Genomic DNA, 20,848 nt, shown 5'->3' on the forward strand with positions numbered 1-20,848 from the left:
ATTTTCTACATACAATAATGTTTGATCCCCATAAAATGTGTGAGATAAAGCCAAACGTTTCCTTCTCAGATGGAGAAACTGAGACTTGATGTCAACTGACTTAGCCAACTTTGCCTAACTAGAAGACTAGAAGCAGTGGGTGTCTGAGAGCATAGTCAGCAGAAGCAAAGAGGCAGATGCCCCCCGGAGATGGGGCAGGTTTGCTGATCTGGCATTTGATTTTTTTTTTTTTTTTTTTGAGAGGGAGCTTCACTCTGTTGCCCAGGCTGGAGTGCAGTGGCGCAATTGCGACTCACTGCAACCTCTGCCTCTCAGGCTCAAGGTGATTCTCCTGCCTTGGCCTCCTGAGTAGCTGGGATTACAGGCACCCACCACTACACCCGGCTAGTTTTTGTATTTTCAGTAGAGACAGGCTTTCACCATGTTGGCCAGACTGCTCTTGAACTCTTGACTTCAAATGATCCACCCACCTCGGCCTCCCAAAGTGCTGGGATTACAGGCATGAGCCACTGTGCCCGGCCTGATTTTTTTTTCCATGATTTTCATTACCTTTCTGTCCCCGGTAGGCATTTGAGTTTATGATCCATGATATGTTCCTAACTCTGGTTCACACTGCTATAACTTGATCATAGACTTTTGGACTTGAAGCTGTAATACTCCTGGGGTTCCCCAGTGACAGCCCACCCAGTTTTCCAGTGGCTTCTTGGCCCTGGCTTCTCTGATCTCACAGGCTTCCCCTTCTTCTAAATATTGCAAGGCAAACCCATAGTTTGTCCTCTGGTTTGACCAGGTTCTTGGTTCTGATAGCCCCTTATTCTGAGCCTTCCAGGCAGAGACTCCTACAGGACTCTGCCACCTCAGGACCCAGCATAGGGCTGGGTGTCCTGAAGGTCTGCTAAGGGGACTCATGCTGAGCCTTCGGAAGGTCACAAGGAGAGAACAGAGGGTGGGCTGAGGGTCCACATGCCAACATGTCAGGAGTTGGACTGCTTGGGTTCCAATCCGGCTCCCGCACCTCACTGCCCCTGACCCTGGGCAAATCACCAAACCCTTTGTGATTGGTTTCCTCATCTGTAAAAAGGGAATCATTATAGAACCCCAAAGCAAAATTATAAGGCTCGGGTGAAATACTGTATATAAACCTTTTATTACAGGGCTGGGCACAAGGTGAGTGCTCGCCTTGACATTGTTGCGCCAGATTTCCCTAAGCACATCACTGCATGGCTGTTCTCTCTTCTGGATACGGCCGCCCTTTCTGCCTAGAGACGTTTGATTCTTCCTGGGGGGCGGTGCAGGGTCAGGTGAGCAGCTGGGGCTCCGGAGGGTCTGGGTCTCTGTCACTTCTTGCTGCGTCGCCTTCTGTGAGTCCTTCCCAGCCCCCTAATCATGCCCGCCTGAGCAAGAGGATGAGAAAATGCCGACCCCGTAGCGGGGACTCTGCTGCTGTGCGGGGCGCGGTTCGCCGAACCCACTGGCCGCTTCTAGAGAGTCGGCCCCAGGGCCAGGACCTCCACTTGGCAGGCGCTGGGGCGCCCAGGGGCAGGGCCAGCGCGGGAAAGGCCGCGAGTCCTTCGACCCCCTGGCAGTCTGGGAGCCGGCCGCGGCTGCCATGGCAACGCCCGGAAGCTGCCGGGAGGGGAGGCAGGCCCAGCCGGGACGAGGCCCTGCCTCCAGCCAACGCTCCGCCCAGAACGAAGCCCCGCCCCGGAACGAAGCCCCGCCTCCAGCAACTCTCTGCCCGGAGAGAGGCCCGACAGCTGCGACCCGACTGGTTCTGTCCGAGCCCGACGGGCCGCGCTGACCCAGCGACTGTGCCTGACTGACCACAGGTGCCGCCACCGCCTGATAATACGAGTGTGTCAGCTTCCGTCTGACTGAACGCAGGTTTCATGGGTGCCTGACAGACCAAGACTGCTGGATCTGTCAGCCTGGCCGCAGCTGGCTGACTGGCTGACTGGCTGGCTGGTTGACTGGCTGGCTGACTGGCTGCCTGGCTGGCTGGCTGGCTGGCTGCTCTTGCCCGGCCGCCATCTGGGCCTGACGGGCTGCGTCTGACCGGGCGGCCTATCTGCCTCTGCCTGACCAGCCTCCATCTGTGCTTGGCGAGCTGTGTGACCGGCCGCGACGGTCTGTGTCTGACTGAGCACAAGGTTCCTAGCGGCCGATCAGCTGCTTGACCCCATCTCTGCTGAGCCGGCCGACACCGACGGATTGACTCTGGCAACGCCTGGCCCGAGTGGCGCTACCGGCTTCCAGAGACTTCCTGACCCCTGCCGAGGTTGCACCGCTCAGCGCTGCCCTGTGAGGCGCTGACTGTGGCCGCAGCTGAGTGCGGCTGCCCCTTCACAGACAGGGCGTGCAGAATGACGGTCGCCTGGCTGTCCCTCCCTAGGCGCCCCTGGCTAGCTCGGCTTGCCTGGCAGCGTCTGTGTCTGAGGGACGTGTTGGTGGCCGCCGCTGGCCGCATCTGTCCCCCTGCAGGTGGGCATCAGGTTGCCCCCGTGAAGTGCAGCTGGGGCCGAGCCTGGCTGAAGGACGGCCACCTTCTCTCCAGCTGTCCAGCGAGGGCTTCTGAGGTGGTGCCCTCCGGGGCTCTGTGGCCTGGACCTCTCCAGCCACACACAGTCAGAGCCTTAGGGGATCCCAAGCAAGGGCACCCACAGGGAAGAGAGCCTAAGACAGAGGCCAAGGGACAGGCAGGCAGCAGGGGTGGGACTTCGGGCCAGGCGAGGAACAGCTGGAAGAAGCTCCGGGGCTGGGAGGAGGCCGCAGGACCTTGAGGTGCCGGAGTTTAGGGATCCGATTCTGTAAGGGAGGCAGCACCTTGAGGAGTTGGGTTGGTGTGTGGGGTCCTCAGGACACGATCCCTGACTTTGAATACCTTTTTTTGCGGGTTTTGGGGAAATCTCTGTCAGTGCCTTGCTGCTCTGCAGAAGGGTCATCCCGCAGACCTCAGATCTCTTCCCGAATTAATTAATTTATTTATTTTTATTTATTTTTTTCTTTTTTTGAGATGGAGTCTTGCTCTGTCGTCCAGCCTGGAGTGCAGTGGCCCGATCTTGGCTCACTACAAACTCCGCCTTCCAGGTTCAAGCGATTCTCATGCCTCAGTTTCCCAGGTAGCTGGGATTACAGGTGTGCGCCACCATGCCTGGCTAATTTCTGTATTTTAGCCGGGGGTTTGTAGAGACAGGGTTTTGCCATATTGCCCAGGCTGGTCTCAAACTCCTGGCCTCAAGTGATCTGCCCACCTTGGCCTCCCAAAGTGCTGGGGTTACAGGTATGAGCCACTGCACCCAGCCTCTTCCTGAATTTAAATCTCTCCCAGCCTGTGTGTGTGTGTGTGTGTGTGTGTGTGTGTGTGTGCCAGCCACACCAACCACATGCAATGGCTTCCCCCCTGGAAGGAGTTGTTCTGTACCAGAATAAGGGGGAAGGAAATACTGGTCAGAGGGATTTATTTTTTTAAAGCAAGCATGGGTATGCTATGAGTTATTGCTATTAATAATAATACAATGAAAGCATCAGACTAGTTTATTTCGAACTAGCTCTAGCATGCTAAGATGTTGCCTCTCCATTAATAACAGGGCCCTGGCTGCCTCGTTGATTTCATTATAGGCCATGGGAGGAATGGGAGGAAATGAACAGCTTCACTCCCAAGGGCTTTCATAACATGGATTTGGATCTCAGCCAGTGTGGGCAGTGGGGCTTCCCGGGGGCAGGGGACTCCTGGGGTGCTGGGAAAAAGAGGCAGCAACAAGTTGCATGGAGCATTTGTACCTCATTTATTTATTCATTTATTCAACAAATATTTATTGAGTACCATGTGCCAGGCACTGTGCCAGACTCTCACTCTGTCCTCATGGAGGATAGCCTTATGGGATCCAGGAAACCTCTCCAGTGCCTCCCAACTCTGGTCCTGTCAAAGCCACATGCTGGGTACCAACTGCTTTCTTTCTGAGCTAGCTGCACAGCTAAAATGGGAGAGCTAGTAGAGTACAGTGGTCCTGAAATTGTGGTCCTTGGACGAGCAGTATCTGGACCACCTGGGAACTTATTAAAATACAAATTCTCAGGTCAGGAGATCGAGACCATCCTGGCTAACACAGTGAAACCCTGTCTGTATTAAAAATACAAAAAAATTAGCCAGGCGTAGTGGCGGGCGCCTGTAGTCCCAGATACTTGGGAGACTCAGACAGGAGAATGGCGTGAACCTGGGAGGCGGAGCTTGCAGTGAACCGAGATTGCGCCACTGCACTCCAGCCTGGATGACAGAGCGAGACTCCATCTCAAAAAAAAAAAAAAAAATTATCGGGCCCTATCTCAGATGGACTGAATCAGAAACTATTTTAGTGTAGGGCACAGTGATCTATGTTTTAACAAGCCTCCAGGTCTTGCTGATGTCCTGAGAACCAGGACAAAGTCGTGCTAAAGTCTGAGAACCACTGGTGGAATAATTAATTGTGTTGGCTCTAGTATCACACTGTCCATATCAGAATCTCAATGCTACTACATAAGAGCTGTGTGACTTTGACCAAGTTATTGAATCTTTCTGTGCCTTAATTTTCTCATTTGCATAATTGGTATAATTATGATTACCCTAAACCATTGTTGTACATATTACATCACGTGAAAAGGTTAGCGCACAATTTCAGCTCTAGGAACATATCCTGTGGACATATTTCTTTTCTTTCTTTCTTTTCTTTTCTTTTTTTTTTTTTGAGACAGTTTCGCTTTTTTCACCCAGGCTGGAGTGCAATGGCACAGGCTTGGCTCACTGCAACCTCTGCCTCCCGGGCTCAAGCAATTCTCCTGCTTCAGCTTCCCAAGTAGCTGGGATTACAGGCACCCTCCACCACGCCCGGCTAATTTTGTATTTTTAGTAGAGATGGGGGTTTCACCATGTTGGCCAGGCTGGTCTCGAACTCCTGACCTCAGGTGATCCACCTGCCTCAGCCTCCCAAAGTGCTGGGATTACAGGCATGAGCCACTGTGCCCGGCCCTGTGGACATATTTCTGCATATGCTGAAAGACAAGTGTAAGGGATATTCATTAATTTGTTGTTTATAAACACACTATTTATTTATTTATTTATTTTTGAGATGGAGTCTCGCTCTGTTGCCCAGGATGGAGTGCAGTGGCACGATCTTGGCTCACTGTAACCTCTGCCTCCCGGGTTCAAGCAATTCTGCCTCAGCCTCCCAAGTAGCTGGGATTACAGGCGTGCACCACGGCACACAGCGAAATTTTGTATTTTTAGCAGAGATGGAGTTTTGCCATGTTGGCCAGGCTGATTTCAAACTCCTGACCTCAGATGATCCACCTGCCTTGGCCTCTCAAAGTGTTGGGATTACAGGCATGAGCCACTGCGCCCAGCCAATGCATTCATTTCTGTAAAAAAAAAAAAAAAAAAAAAAAAAAAAATCTTTATAAAATCTTTTTTTTTTTTTGAGACAGAGTTTCACTCTTGTTCCCCAGGCTGGAGTGCAATGGCGCGAACTCGGCTCACCACAACTTCTGCCCCCTGGGTTCAAGTGATTCTCCTGCCTCAACCTCCCAAGCAGCTGGGATTACAGTCATGCACCACCACGCCCGGCTCATTTTGTATTTTTTTAATAGAGACGGGGTTTCTCCATGTCGGTCAGGCTAGTCCCGAACTCTCAACCTCAGGTAATCCGCCCGCCTTGGCCTCCCAGAGTGCTGGGATTACAGGAGTGAGCCACCGTGCCCAGCCTATAAAATCTTTATACAGATACAGGCTCATGTACATCTGAAAGGATACTCAAGGAACTGGTAACAGTGGGAGAAGAAATGGGTGGCTGGAAACAGGAGAAGGGAAACATTTTTACCATACATACACCCTTTTATGACTTTTAGATTTTGCAGTATGTGCATGCATTTTCTATTCACAAAAATGAAATTTTTTAAAAAAGGGGGCAGTACTTAGCACAATGCCTAGCAGTGGTGGCGGTGGTGGTGATAGCCTTTCTGCAGCTCTGGGCAGATGATTCACTGCAGAAATGCAGCCCAGAGATATCTAGAGGCTGGCCATAGCCTCCAGACTGTCCTCCTAGCCTCTCGGTCTCCCTTCTTCATTCTATATGATCCATGTTTCCCCATCGGAGAATCTTTGCATTTTAGAGATGTAAAGGGGCTTCAGATTTTCTAGTGCAACTGTTTTAACGGTGAAGAAACTAAGCCCCCAAAAGATGCCATAACCAGTCCAAGGTTATCAACAGGGTTCAATCTAGGGCCTCTTTTACACCATCCTAAGTTTTCTAAAATTCTGCTGTCATTCCATCACTGCTCTGCCCGTGAATCCTCAACCTGGCTATTAAGACTAGCTGTGGTCTAGGCCAAGCACAGTGGCTTATGCCTGTAACCCCAACACTCTGAGGCCGAGGTGGGCAGATCACTTGAGGTCAGGAGTTTGAGACCAGCCTGACTAACATAGTAAAACCCTGTCTCTACTCAAAATACAAAAATTAGCTGCGTGTGGTAGTGCACATCTATAATCCCAGCTACTCGGGAGGCTGGGGCACAAAAATTGCTTGAACCTGGGAGGCAGAGGTTGCAGTGAGCTCAGAGTCTCGCTCTGTCTCAAAAAAAAAACCCACAAAAAACTAGCTGTGGTTTAACTCCCAACCAAATTTCCAGCCTTATTTGCCACCCTTTTCTTCTATGTGAATCCTCTACCTTAGCCAGATAGTTCTCTTTATTGACTCCAAATGCTCCTGCTTTCCAAATGCCATACTCTCTGCCTGAAATGCCTTTCTCTTTCCTGTCCATTTATTGTGGAGATTCTACCTAAACATGGAAGCTAAGCTTAAATCATACTTCCTTCAGGAAGTCTTCCCTGATTACTTCAGCTCACAGAGCTGTCTCCCTCTGAACTAGTTAAAAAAGTTCTTGTGGCTGGGCGCAGTGGCTTACACCTGTAATCCCAGCACTTTGGGATGTCAAGGCAGGCGGATCACTTGAGGTCAGAAGTTTGACACCATCCTGGCCAACATGGCAAAATGCCATCTCTACTTTAAAAAATACAAAAATTAGCTGGGTGTGGTGGTGGTGCATGCCTGTAGTCCCAGCTACTCGGGAGGCTGAGGTAGGAGAATTGCTTGAACCTGGGAGGCAGAGGTTGCAGTGAGCTGAGATAGTGCCACTGCACTCCAGCCTGGGTGACAGAGTGAGACTCCATCTCAAAAAAAAAAAAAAGTTATTGTAAAAAACTCCTGCTCCTTAAGAGGGACGTAGGATGTTTGTCTGCTTCTTGGGTAATGGGAAATTAACTTGGATAGAGCTCATTCCTCATTCTCTATTTCTGCAGCTATAAAATTGGGCCAATAACCTTAGCCCTCCTTATTGTCTCAGGAAAGCCCTGGGTGAGGATGCCACTGAGCCCGCCTGGAGCCAGGAGCTGGTCTGCAGAAACTGCTGGGCCTGTTTCTACTCTGATGTTTACTTGGCCTGGAGGCCCAGTGTGATGAAACCCGGCCCTGTTGCCGAGCACCTTGGGAAGCCTCCCTCCAGGGTCCCTCTGTGCTCAGACAGTGGCCCTTTGTAGAGTGGAGGAGCAGACTGAAAGCGGAGCTGCTGGAAACCGTTTCCTCCCCTCTGCCTCGAGCAACCTCCTCCCGCAGCCACAGACCATCCTGTGCCTGGGTGGCCTCTGCTTTAAGTCTGCAGCTGGCGGGGTAAGATAGGGTCTCTAGGCAGCCTGCTAGGCTGGAAGGGTGAGGAGGGGTCCTGGCAGGATGGCCAGCTGAAACACAGCATCCCCTAACTCAATACAGATCACTTATAACAGGGCTTTCCAAAGAGGAGACTGGCCCCTTACAGGCAAGATTGACATTTCACCATCCCCTGCCACCACTCAATAAGCGCCTAAGATTTAGGCTAGAAGTGATGTGGTTTGTCCCTTCTGTCCCTACTTCACTGGCCCCTATACTCACTAGCGGGGGGGATTGGGAATCCTTAGACATAATCCCAAACCTGGTGGAGTAGGAGTTCAGTAAGTGGGGAAGAACTAGGAACAAGAGGAAAGAAGGTTTAAGAGTGTGGTATAGGCTGGGCACGGTGGCTCATGCTTGTAATCCCAGCACTTTGGGAGGCTGAGGCAAGCGGATCACTTGAGGTCAGGGGTTTGAGACCAGCCTGGCCAACATGGTGAAACCCCATCTCTACTAAAAATACAAAAATTAGCCAGGCATGGTGGCGGGCGCCTGTAATCCCAGCTCCTCAGGAGGCTGAGGCAGGAGAATCGCTTGAACCCGGAAGGCAGAGGTTGCAGTGAGCCAAGATGGCGCCATTTCACTCCAGCCTGGGCGACAAGAGTGAGACTCCGTCTCAAAAAAAGTGTTGTATAGGTGAAAGGACACTTAACTGGTCTGGGGGGCAGGAAGCCTGGGATTCCATTTCTGCTGAGCTACTGACTTGCTGGGTGACATTAGCTAGTTGTTTCCCTTTTCTATGCTTCAGTTTCCCAGCTGCGAAACTGTGGAGGTGGAGTAAATAAATGTTAAGGATTTTTGCAGTTCTAATTTTTCCCAATTCTTTGATCAGAAGGAGGAAAGGAAAGCTGGGGGTGGGTTGGAGGTAAATAACTGGCAGGATGCCTTCCATGGATTCACCTGCAGTCTCCAGGCAGCTTCTTCTCTGCCACTAAGATCTCTTCCCCTTCCGTTTCTCCCCCTCTTCTTTCCACCCCACTCTGAGGGCTTCTTGTGATGAGATCTAAAAGCTGTCTTACTTACAATTGCTTATACTGTCTTTTGCCCACAAAGGGAGGAGACTGTGCACAATCATGGAGGGCAGTGGCAAGTCTGGTGGAGAGGGAAGGAGGTCAGGAAATAAACGAGAGAGGAAAATTAAGAGGTAAGGATGTGATAGAGGGAAGTATTGAAAGAAAGCTCAGGGAGAGTGAAAAGGAAGGAAAAGGGGAGAGAGAGGAGGTAAAAGTGAAGGAAAGAGGTTGAGTGCAGTGGTTATTCCTGTAATCCCAGTACTTTGGGAGGCTGAGGCAGGTGGATGACTTGAGGCCAGGAGTTCAAGACCAGCCAGGGCAACATGACAAAACCCCATCTCTACAAAAATACAAAAATTAGCGGGACATGGTGGTGTATGCCTGTAGTCCCAGCTACTAGGGAGGCTGAGGTGGGAGGATCACTTGAGCCCAGGAGGTCGAGGCTGCAGTGAGCCATGATGGCACCATTGCACTCTAGCCTGGGTGACAAAGTGAGATCCTGTCTCAAAAAAAAAAAAAAAAAGAAAGAAAAAGAGTGGAATGAAATGGAGAATAAGGAAGGTACAAATGGGAGAGAAAAACAGGAAAAGAAACCATGGGAGAAAACCAGAGCCTGGGCAAACGAACATGCAAGTGGAGACATAGTGTTTTCTAGGACAACAAAACACTTTAGTTTGGCTAGAGCTAAGAGTGTGGTAGGTAGACAAAATTAGAATCAGATTGTAGAAGGTCTTGGATGCCAGGTTAATGATTTTGAACTTTATATTTTTTATTTTCCTTTGTTCAAATCCCCTGTGATAAGTTGTTTTATTTTGTTTAGAGTGGGTATCAGGCAGATTTCTGGGTGAGGCCCAGAGGAGCATTTTTATTCATCCATCCATTCAACAAGGGACTATGTCTTATCCAACTTGTATCCCTAGAGTATAACACAACATCTGCATATAAGACAGAAAGTAAGTGCTTGTTAAAATTAAGCATTTTGGCCGGGTGTGATGGCACACATGTGTAATCCCAGCACTTTGGGAGGCCGAGGTGGGTGGATCACCTGAGGTCAGGAGTTCAAGACCAGCCTGGCCAACATGGCGAAACCATGTCTCCACTAAAAATACAAAAATTAGCTGGGCATGGTGGCATGCTCTGGTAATCCTAGCTACTAGAGAGGCTGAGGCAGGAGACTTGCTAGAATCCAGGAGGCGGAGATGCAGTGAGCCAACATTGCGCCACTGTACTCCAGCCTGGACAAGAGAGTGAGACTAGGTCTCAAAGAAAAAAAAAAAATTGAGCATTTGGAGAAAGCAGTAGTTGAGACAGTCTCACAGAGAATATAAGAATAATCATATTAAAAGGTAAAAAGTGCTAGGTGCCCAGAGAGAGGCCCAGAAAAGGGAGATCAGAGGAGAATGAGACAGCCTTCCCTGCTACCTTTAGCAGAAAAGTCCCAAAGAATATTATAATGGGGCCATCTTGGCTACTTGAATTAATCCTTGTGGCCTGAAAGATACATTCTGTTGGAGGGTATAGGGTTCTGTCTATCTTCTGAGTGAAGGGCAAAGAGTTCTCCGAAGAAAAGGGAGGGATTATTACTGGAAGAAGGGAAATTAGAACTGGCATGTCTGCCAGGTCTGCTGTAGTGGAACAAGGTGAGGCACATATAGGGAACAGTGAGAAGGATTAGGAGCTCTTCAAGAGTGGTAACAGTTAAAAATAGAGCTACAGGCCAGGTGCAGTGGCTCACGCCTATAATCCCAGCACTTTGGGAGGCTGAGGTGGGAGAATTGCTTGAGCCCAGGAGTTTAAGACCAACCTGGGCAACACAGTGAAAACCCGTCTCTACACAAAATAAAAAATTAGCCAGGCGTGGCTGGGCGTGGTGACTCACTCCTGTAATCCCAGCACTTTGGGAGGCCAAGGTGGGTGGATCACCTGAAGTCGGGAGTTTGAGACCAGCCTGATTAACATGGTGAAACCCTGTCTCTACTGAAAACAAAAAATTAGCCAGACGTGGTGGCATATGCCTGTAATCCCAGCTACTTGGGAGGCTGAGGCAGGAGAATTGCTTGAACCTGGGAGGCAGAGGTTGCAGTGAGCGAGACTGCACCATTGCACTCTAGCCTGGGCAACAAGGGCGAAACTCTGTCTCCAAAATAAATAAATAAATAAAAAGAAAGAGAGAGAGAGAGGTGCACCATGGAGGGCCTCAAATACCAAGTTGTGGAGTTTGAACTTGTCTCTTGAACTGAGAGTGCGCTTGTTGAAGTTGTGCTTTGGGAGTACTAATCAGGCCACCAAGGTATGGAATGGACTGGAGGCGAGAAGACCAGGACTGATGGGAAATTGTTCTGGCATGTCCTCTGGTAAAGCCTAAGCATGAGATCCTTCACCCACATCAATGTGTTTTCCGTTGTAACTTGGTTTGGTTTTTTTGTTGTTGTTCTTCTTCCCATTCTAGGTCAGTGGATTCAAAACGATGAAAGTGGATTCAAAACCTCTGTCAAGGGGTGCTGTCCTTTCCTGGCCAAGTCTCTTTTATTCTCTTAGGGCTGCAACCTCTTCACCTGGGAAATGAATGGTCCTGTGATTTACAAGAGCAGGTAAGCACCTGCAAAGGGCTTTGAAGATTGATGGGCAGAGTTTCCAGCTCAATTTCTGGGGAGTGGCAGTATCAGCAGCACCCCGTCCCTGGCTCTGACATAACGATGGGAGAAGCAGCTCCAAGGCATCCTGCTTTTTTTTTTTTTTTGAGACAGAGTCTCGTTCTGTTGCCCAGGCTGGAGTGCAGTGGCACGATCTCAGCTCACTGCAACCTCCGCCTCCCGGGTTCAAGCAATTCTCCTGCCTCAGCCTCCTGAGTAGCTGGGATTACAGGTGTGTGCCACCATACCTGGCTAATTTTTGTATGTTTAGTAGAGATGGGGTTTCACTATGTTGGTCAGGCTGATCTCGAACTCCTGACCTCGTGATCCTCCCTCCTCAGCCTCCCAAAGTGATGGGATTACAGGTGTGAGCCCCTGCGCCCAGCTGGCATCCTGCTTTTGAGCAGGAGGTGGCCCAGGCCGTAGCCCAGAGTCAACTCTCTCCTCTTCCCAAATATCTCCACAAAGGAAAACTCTGTAGCATAGCCTAAGAGGGAGCATAAGACTTTGAAGTCAGACATCCCAGGCCTTGGTCCTCAGTTGTGCTTCTTCCTAGCTCTGGTATTTTGAATAAGTTATGTAAGTTACCTGAGCCTATTTCCTTGTATATAAAATGGGGGTTGCAATACTAATTTCCTGGGCTCGTGAGAGTAGAGTAAGCTAAAGCTAAAAAAGCACTTGGCACAGTGCCATACAAGCCACAGGCACTCGGCCAGTGTGAATTCCTATTCATTTTTTAAGAAACAGAGTCATGTACTGTTAGAGGTAGAGAGGTGTTAGATATTCCTGGTCCAATCCTCTCATTCTACAGTGGTAAAAGGACTCCCAGGAAGGTTTCCTCTTAACCAATCTAATTCTCTTCTGTCACAATATCTGCTGATTCTGTCCTCAACTAGAAGCAGAGAACTGAGCTCCACCTTCTATGCTTAGCTACATAAATCCGATGGGAGTTCTATACCTGTTCAAAAAAGGGTATTTTGGTTCCTCCATTTTTCCCCCCAAGAACATTTGCCTATCATTTGCTCTTTGCTCTGCTAAAGGTGAAGACAATTAGTGTCCCATACTCAAAGTGATCACGAATATGTGGGAAGATCATGAGCAACACAGTATAGATGAATCCTAAGTAAATCCAGCAATCTTGGAATATCTGAAGGAATTTGCTCCCAATTATTCTTAGATAAGCTAAGAAATGAATACAACTGTTAGTTATCGTGTTTGTGTTTTTGTTTTTACTCTGCTTAATTTTTTAACATTTTTATTTATTTCTATAATTATAGAAATGGGGGGGGGGGGTCTCACTATGCTGCCCAGGCAGGTCTCTAACTCCTGGGATCAAATGATCCTCTTGCCTTGACCTCCCAAAGTGCTGGGATTACAGGTGTGAGCCACTGTGCCCAGCTTCTGCTTAATTTTTATTTCCCAGTTGGCAGGGGCTCCCTAATTCTTTAGCTTTACTTTTTTATGGATAAAATATACATAGCATAAAATTTATCATTTTAACTATTTTTTGACAGATAAACAGTTTCTTTATTCCTCCTCATCCTCCTCCTCTTCTTCATCTTCCTCTTCCACCTTTTCCTGGGCAACTTTAGCAGGACCATTTGCACCATCAAACTTTCCTTTTGCCTTATAGTCAGAAACATCCTTCTCATACTTCTTCAGCTTTGCCGCCTTAGTGAAGTAAGGCTGCTTTTCACTGTCATTTAAGCTATTCCACATTTCACCCAACTTTTTTTTTTCTTTTGCCACGTCTCCAATAGAGATGCCAGGGTTTGTGGATTTGATCTCGGGGCAGAATTCTGAACAGAACAGGAAGAATCCAGACAGTAGCCTTTTGGGGCATTAGGATCCTTCTTGTTGCCTCCTTTAGCTGGTCCATAATCCTTCATTTCCCGATCATAGTGTACTTTATCCGCCTTTGCCATTTCATTGAATTTAGACTTCTCTTTCCCAGACATGGTCTTCTACCTCTCGGAGCACTTCCTGGAATATTCTGCAAAATTGACAAGGACCTCTGGGTTTTTCTTCTTATGTTCTTCTCTGCACATCTGCACAAAGAAGGCATAAGCAGACATCTTTCCCTTTGGTTTCTTGGTGTCACCTTTAGCCATCCTGACTGAATTTCTTCTTCCTTCCCGGCCGCCTAGCAGGAGGGAAGGCGGAGGGGAGTGAAGGGCGTGGGGAGGAGAGGGAGGGCCCTGGGAGGCGAAGCAGCAGGAGGCGGCGACGTGGCCCGAAAGTTCTGCAGGCGCTGCGGTGGCGGCCCCATTTTAACTTTTTTTTTATTTTTTATTTTTTGAGAGGGAGTCTCGCTCTGTTACCCAGGCTGGAGTGCAGTAGCGCGATCTCGGCTCACTGCAAGCTCTGCCTCCTGGGTTCACGCCATTCTTCTGCCTCAGCCTCCCGAGTAGCTGGGACTACAGGCACCCGCCACCACGCCCGGCTAATTTTTTGTATTTTTCGTAGAGACGGGGTTTCACTGTGCTAGCCAAGATGGTCTCAATCTCCTGACCTCGTGATCCGCCTGCCTCGGCCTCCCAAAGTGCTGGGATTACAGGTGTGAGCTACCACACCCGGCAAACTTAAAAAAAATTTTTTTTTTGAGACAGAGCCTCCCTCTGTCGCCAGGCTGGAGTGCAGTGGTGCGATCTCGGCTCACCACAACCTCCGCCTCCCGGTTTCAAGCGATTCTCCTGCCTCAGCCTCCCGAGTAGCTGGGATTACAGGCACGGGCCACCACGCCCAGCTAATTTTTGTATTTTTAGTACAGACGGGGTTTCGCCATGTTGGACAGGCTGGTCTCGAACTCCCGATCTCAGGTAATCTGCCAGCCTTGGCCTCCCAAAGTGCTGGGATTACAGACGTAAGCCACCACACCTCACCCATTTTAACTATTTTTAAGTATACAATTCAGTGACATTAAGTTCATTCACAAAGTAGTGTAATCATCACCACTTCCTATTTCCAGAACTTTTTCATCATCCCAAACAGACACTCTGTACCCATTAAACAACATTCCCCATTTTCCCCTTCCCTCAGCCTCTGGTAACCTCTATTTATTTTAATTTCTGTCTCTACGAATTTACCTATTCTAGATACTTCATATGAGTGGAATCATACAACGTTTGTATTTATTTTTGTTTGTTTGTTTGAGACAGAGTACAGTGTTGGGATCATAGCTCACTGCAGCCTCAACCTCCCAGGCACAAGTGATCCTCCCACCTCAGCCTCCTGGGTAGCTAGGACTACAGGCACACACCACCACACCTGGCTAATATTTAAAAATTTTTTGTAGAGACGGTGAAACAGGAACCCTCGAAGGGTGTGCAATGGGGGTGTGGCTTGCTTCTTCAGTGCCCTGCTGCTCAAACCTCTAGGGGAGCATACAGATGGGCAGGCTGTGGGGCTCCGACCCCACAGCAGTGTCTAGGGGTGAATGTTTACAGCTGAAGCCCCAATGGGCGTGTGTTATAGGGTGCTCTTTTAGGTTGCCATCTATAGGCGGCTTGTGTTAACCAGCTCAATTAAACCCCCTTCCTTACCACAAGGACAGAGGGATTTCTGTATCCTGGGGTTTCTTGCCTTGTTGTACCTGGAAGAACTGGATCACATGTGGGCTTGGAGAATGAGTGCAAGGTTTTATTGAGTAGAACTAGCTCTCAGCAGATGGGGGAGTTGGGGAGCCAGAAGGGAAATGGTTTTCCCCTGGAAATGTTCTCATCATGTTCACCAACATGGTGAAACCCTGTCTCTACTAAAAATATTTTTAAAATTAGCTGGGCATGGTGGTGTGCGCCTGTAATCCCAGCTACTCAGGAGGCTGAGGCAGGAGAATCACTTGAACCGGGGAGGCAGAGGTTGCAGTGAGCAGAAATCGAGCCACTGCACTCCAGCCTGAGTGACAAAGCAAGACTCCGTTTCAAAAAAAAATGTTAGTAAGGATGTGAAGAAAGTGAACCTTCATATATTGCTGGGGGACTGTCAAATAGTATCGCTGCTTTGAAGTTCTTCAAAAAGTAAAACAGAGTTACCACATGACCCAGCAATTCCACTGCTAGGCGTATATCCAAGAGAAATGAAAATGTATGTTCATAGGCGGGGCACAGTGGCTCACGCCTGTAATCCCAGCACTTTGGGAAGCCAAGGTGGGCAGATCACTAGAGGTCAGGAGTTCGAGACCAGCCTGGCCAACAAGATGAAACCCCGTCTGTACTAAAAATACAAAAATTAGCTGGGCGTGGTGTCAGGCACCTGTAAGCCCAGCTACTCGGGAGGCTGAGGCAGGAGAATCATTTGAACCAGGGAGATGGAGGTTGCAGTGAGCAGAGATCACGCCACTGCACTTTAGCCTGGGCGACAGAGTGAGACACTGTCTCAAAACAAACAAACAAAAACACAAAAAACAAAACAAAACAAAAATGGAGGCTGGGCATGGTAGCTCATGCCTGTAATCCTAGCACTTTGAGAGGCCGAAGTGGTCGGATCACCTGAGGTCAGGAGTTTGAGACCAGCCTGACCAACATGGAGAAACCCCATCTCTACTAAAAATATAAAATTAGCTGGGCATGGTGGCACATGCATGTAATCCCAGCTACTCGGGAGGCTGAGGCAGGAGAATCACTTAAACCTGGGAGGCAGAGGTTGCGGTGAGCTGAGATCTCGCCATTGCACTCCAGCCTGGGCAACAAGAGCAAAACTCCGTCTCAAAAAAAAAAAAAAAAAAAAAAAAAAAAGGGAGGTGGGGGGCACTGGCTGTGGTGGCTCACGCCTGTATTCCCAGCATTTTGAGAGACCGAGGTGGGTGGATCACCTGAGGTCAGGAGTTTGAGACCAGCCTGGCCAACATGGTGAAACCCCATCTCTACTAAAAATACAAAAAAATTAGCCAGGAGTGTTGGTGCATGCCTCCCAGCTACTCGGGAGGCTGAGGCAGAAGAATCACTTGAACTCGGGAGGCAGAGCTTGCAGTGAGCTGAGATGTGAGCCGAGATTGCACCACTGCACTCCAGCCTGGGTGACTGAATGAGACTTCGTCTCAAAAAAAAAAGAAAGAAAATGTACGTTCACACAAAAACTTGTACACAATGTTTATCGTGTTATTATTTCTTATAGCCAGCAGGTAGAAACAACCCAGATGTCCATCCACTGACGAATAGCTAAACAAAATGTGGTATATCCATACAGTGGACTATTATTCAGCCATAAAAAGGAATAACACTGATTCACACTACAACATGGATGAACCTTGAAAATCTTACGCTAAATGAGGGAAACCAATCACAAAATAACATATATTGTATGATCCATTTATATGAATAAATCAAGACAGAAAGTAGATTAGTGGTTGCCAAGGGATAGTAGGAAGTTGGGAATGGGGAATAACGGTTAATAGTGTGACTGCCCAGTGTGCTCACCTTGCCCACTGCCAAGACAGAGCCGATTTATCAAGACAGAGAAATTGCAATAGAGAAAGAGTAATTCATGCAGAGCCGGCTGTGCGGGATACCAGAGTTTTATAATTACTCAAATCAGTCTCCCCAAGCATTCGGGGAGCAGAATTTTTAAGGACGACTTGGTGGGTTGGGGGAAGCCAGTGAGCCAGGAGTGCTGAATGGTCAGGGATGAAATCACAGGGAGTCGAAGCTGTCTTCTTGAGCTGAGTCACTTCCTGGATGGGGGTCACGAGATCAGATGAGCCAGTTTATCAATCTGGGTGGTGCCAGCTGATCCATCAAGTGCAGGTCTGCAAAATATCTCAAGCATTGATCTTAGGAGCAGTTTAGAGAGGGTCAGAATCTTGTAGCCTCCAGCTGCATGACTCCTAAACCTTAATTTCTAATCTTATGGCTAATATTAGTCCTACGAAGGCAATCTAGTCTCCAGGCAAGAAAGAGGTCTGCTTTTGGAAAGGGCTGTTATCGTCTTTGTTTTAAACTATAAACTACGTCCAGGCACGGTGGCTCATGCCTGTAATCCCAGCACTTTGGGAGGCTGAGGCAGGTGGATCACTTGAGGTCAGGAGTTTGAGACCAGCCTGGCCAACATGGTGAAATGCTGCCTCTACCAAAAATACAAAAATTAACCGGGTGTGGTGGTGGGCACCTGTAATCCCAGCTATTCAGGAGGCTGAGGCAGAAGAATCGCTTGAACCCAGGAGGTGGAGGTTGCAGTGAGCCGAGGTCATGCCATTGAACCCCAGCCTGGGTGACAGAGTGAGACTCCGTATCAAAACAAAAACAAAAAAAACCTATAAAAACTATAAACTAAGTTTCTCCCAAAGTTAGTTCAGTCTATGCCTAGGAATGAACAAGGACAGCTTGGAGGTTAGAAGCATGTAGAGTCGATTAAGTTAGATCTCTTTCACTGTCTCAGTCATAATTTTGCAAAGGCAGTTTCAATAGGCATGGGATTTCTTTTTGGGGGTGATGAAATGTTCTGGAATTAGAGAGTGGTGATGGTTTCACAACTTTGTGGATATACTAAAAACCAACTAAATTGCACACTTTAAAATGATTAATTTTATATGTTAATTATATCTCAAGAAAAAGTACAGTATATGATAGTAGGCACCCATGTACATACTACCTAATTCCAGAAAAAAACTGTTACAAATACCATTGCAATTTCCTATGTACTGTTCTTCCATCCCATTCCCCTCCCTCTCTACCCAGAAGTGGCCACTACCGTGAAGTTGGTGTTTATCATGGCAATTGTCTTCATTTATTTGGGCTGCTATCACGAAATACTTTAGACTGAGTATCTTATACGCAACAGAAACTTATTTTTCACAGTTCTGGAGGTTGGGAAGGCCAAGATCAATGGGGTGAGGGCCTACTTTCTCACAGACTTCACGTTTTTACGGTGACCTCACATGGTGGAAGGGACCAGCTAGCTCTCTTAGGTCTCTTTTATAAGGGCAGTAATCCCATTCATGAGGGTACCCAATCATCTCCTAAAGGCCTCATCTTCTAACACTGTCACATTTGGGATTACGTTTCAATGTATGACTCTTGGGGACACACAAACATTCAGAGCATAGCAGTAATACATGTCTTTATAACTTTTAACAAATGTATGAGTATCCCTAAACAATATATAGCATTGCTTTGTATGTTTTTAAGCTTAATATACATCACATAAGTTGCATCCTCTGCAATATTCTTTTTTCCTACCAACATTATGTTTTTGAGAATTATCCATATTCTTTTTTTTTTTTTTTTGAGACAGAGTCTGGCTCTGTCGCCCAGGCTAGAGTGCAGGGTGTGATCTCGGCTCACTGCAACCTCTGCCTCCAGGGATCAAGTGATTCTCCTGCCTCAGCCTCCCGAGCAGCTGCGATTACAGGTGCCCACCACCACACCCAGCTAATTTTTGTATTTTTTTGTAGAGACAGAGTTTCACCATGTTGTTCAGGCTGGTCTCCAACTCCCGACCTCAAGTGATCTGCCTGCCTTGGCCTCCCAAAGTCCTGGGATTACAGGTGTGAGCCACTGTGCCCGGTGAATTATCCATATTCCTACCACTCACTGCTGTGTAGTATTTCATTATATGACTACACTATAATTTATTTTGTATATTTACCTATTGGTGGACATTTAGACTGTTTCTAATTTTTCAATATTTCAAACAATGCTTCAGAGAACATCTCCAACAGGTTTCCTTTTGTGCATGTTCATTTCCCTGGGTTTTATATTCAGGAGTAGGATTGCCGAGTCAAAGGCCTGCACATCTTCTACTTCGTTAGCTATTGCCACAAGTCCATTACTAGTCAGGTGGAGCGTTTTCATATGTTTATTGGCCATTTGTATTTCTTCAGTGGCTTAATGTTCACATCCTTTGTCCATTTACCTAATATAAATTTGTTAGTAATTCTTTACATATTTTCGAATTCTCATCCTTTGCCAGCCAAAACATTGCAGAGATTTTCTCCCATTTAGTAGTTTGTCTTTTTCCCTTTATGACATCTTTTGATGCACAGAATTTCTACATTTAATCTGGCTGACCATATCAAGTTTTTTCATTTTTGATTTGTATGATGATTAATTTTATGTGTCAATTTGACTGGGTCATGGCATGCCCAGATATTTGGTTAAACATTATTCTGGGTGTGTCTGTGAGGGTGTTTGTAGATGAGATTAACTTTTGAATCTGTAGACTGAGTAAAGCAGATTGCCCTTCCCAAGTGGGTGGGCCTCATTCAATCCATTGAAGGCCTGAACAGAACAAAAAGGTGGAGTAAGAGAATTCTTTCTCCCTGTCTCACTGTGCTCATGCTGGTACTTTTGTCGTCTCCTGCCTTTGGACTTTTTTTTGAGACAGGTTCTCGCTGTCACACACGTTGGAGTGCAGTGGTGGGATACCGGCTCACTGCAACCTCCGCCTCCTGGGTTAAAGCAATTCTCTTGCCTCAGCCTCCCGAGTTGCTGGGATTATAGACTCCTGCCACCACACCCAGCTAATTTTTTTGTATTTTTAGTAGAGATGGGATTTCACTATGTTGGCCAGGCTGGTCTCGAACTCCTGACCTCAAGTGATCTGCCTGCCTTGGCCTCTCAAAGTGCTAGGATTATAGGCATGAACCACTGCACCCGGCCTGTCTTTGGACTTTTATCTGGACCATTGGCTCTCTTGGTTCTCAGGCCTTTGGACTCAGACTAGAACTAAACCATTGGCTCTCCTGTGTCTCCAGCTTGCTGACTACAAATCTTAGGGCTTAGCTTCTATAACCACATGACCTAATTTTTTATAATACTCTCTCTCTATTCTATTGGTTCTGTCAGAGGCGTTTGAACCAGAGCAACTCCATCTTGAGTAGGTGCTAGGTAAAATAAGGCTAAGACCTGCTGGGCTGCATTCCTAGCTGGTTAGGCATTCTAAGTTACAGGATGAGATAGGAGGGCACAAGATACAGGTCATAAAGACCTTGCTGATAAAACAGGTTGCAGTAAAGAAGCCGGCTAAAACCCAGGAAAACCAAGATAGCGACAAGAGTGACCTCTGGTCGTCCTCACTGCTACACTCCCACCAGCACCATGACAGTTTACAAATGTCATGGCAATGTCAGGAAGTTACCCTATATGGTCTAAAAGGGGAGGCATGAGTAAACCACCCATTGTTTAGCATATAATCAAGAAATAACCATAAAAATGGGCAACAAGCAGCCCTGGGGGTTGCTCTGTCTAAGGAGTAGCTATTATTTTATTCCTCTACTTTCTTAATAAACTTGCTTTCACTGGGCATGGTGGTTTATGCCTGTAATCCCAACACTTTGGGAGGCCGAGGCGGGTGACCTGAGGTCAGGAGTTCAAGACCAGCCTGGCCAACATGGTGAAACCCCGTCTCTACTAAAAATTCAAAAATTAGCCAGGCATGGTGGTGGGTGCCTGTAATCCCAGCTACTTGGGAGGCTGAGGCAGGAGAATTGCTTGAGCCTGGGAGGCAGAGGTTGCAGTGAGCTGAGATCGCGCCACTG

At 47.8% G+C, this 20,848-nt stretch overlaps 1 pseudogene, besides 1 other annotated feature; it reads right to left on the minus strand.

Annotated features, from left to right (window-relative positions):
* Positions 1,403-1,702: a silencer, noted in NCBI's record as "silent region_12866". NCBI's record gives its function as "represses an Ori minimal core promoter by ATAC-STARR-seq in GM12878 lymphoblastoid cells {active_cell/tissue: GM12878}" and the evidence as "EXISTENCE:reporter gene assay evidence [ECO:0000049][PMID:35858748]".
* HMGB3P2 (high mobility group box 3 pseudogene 2) lies at positions 12,886-13,640 on the minus strand (annotated as a pseudogene).

The sequence above is a fragment of the Homo sapiens genome, chromosome 20, assembly GCF_000001405.40.
Source record: "Homo sapiens chromosome 20, GRCh38.p14 Primary Assembly".
In the NCBI taxonomy this organism is placed as follows: Eukaryota; Metazoa; Chordata; class Mammalia; order Primates; family Hominidae; genus Homo; species Homo sapiens.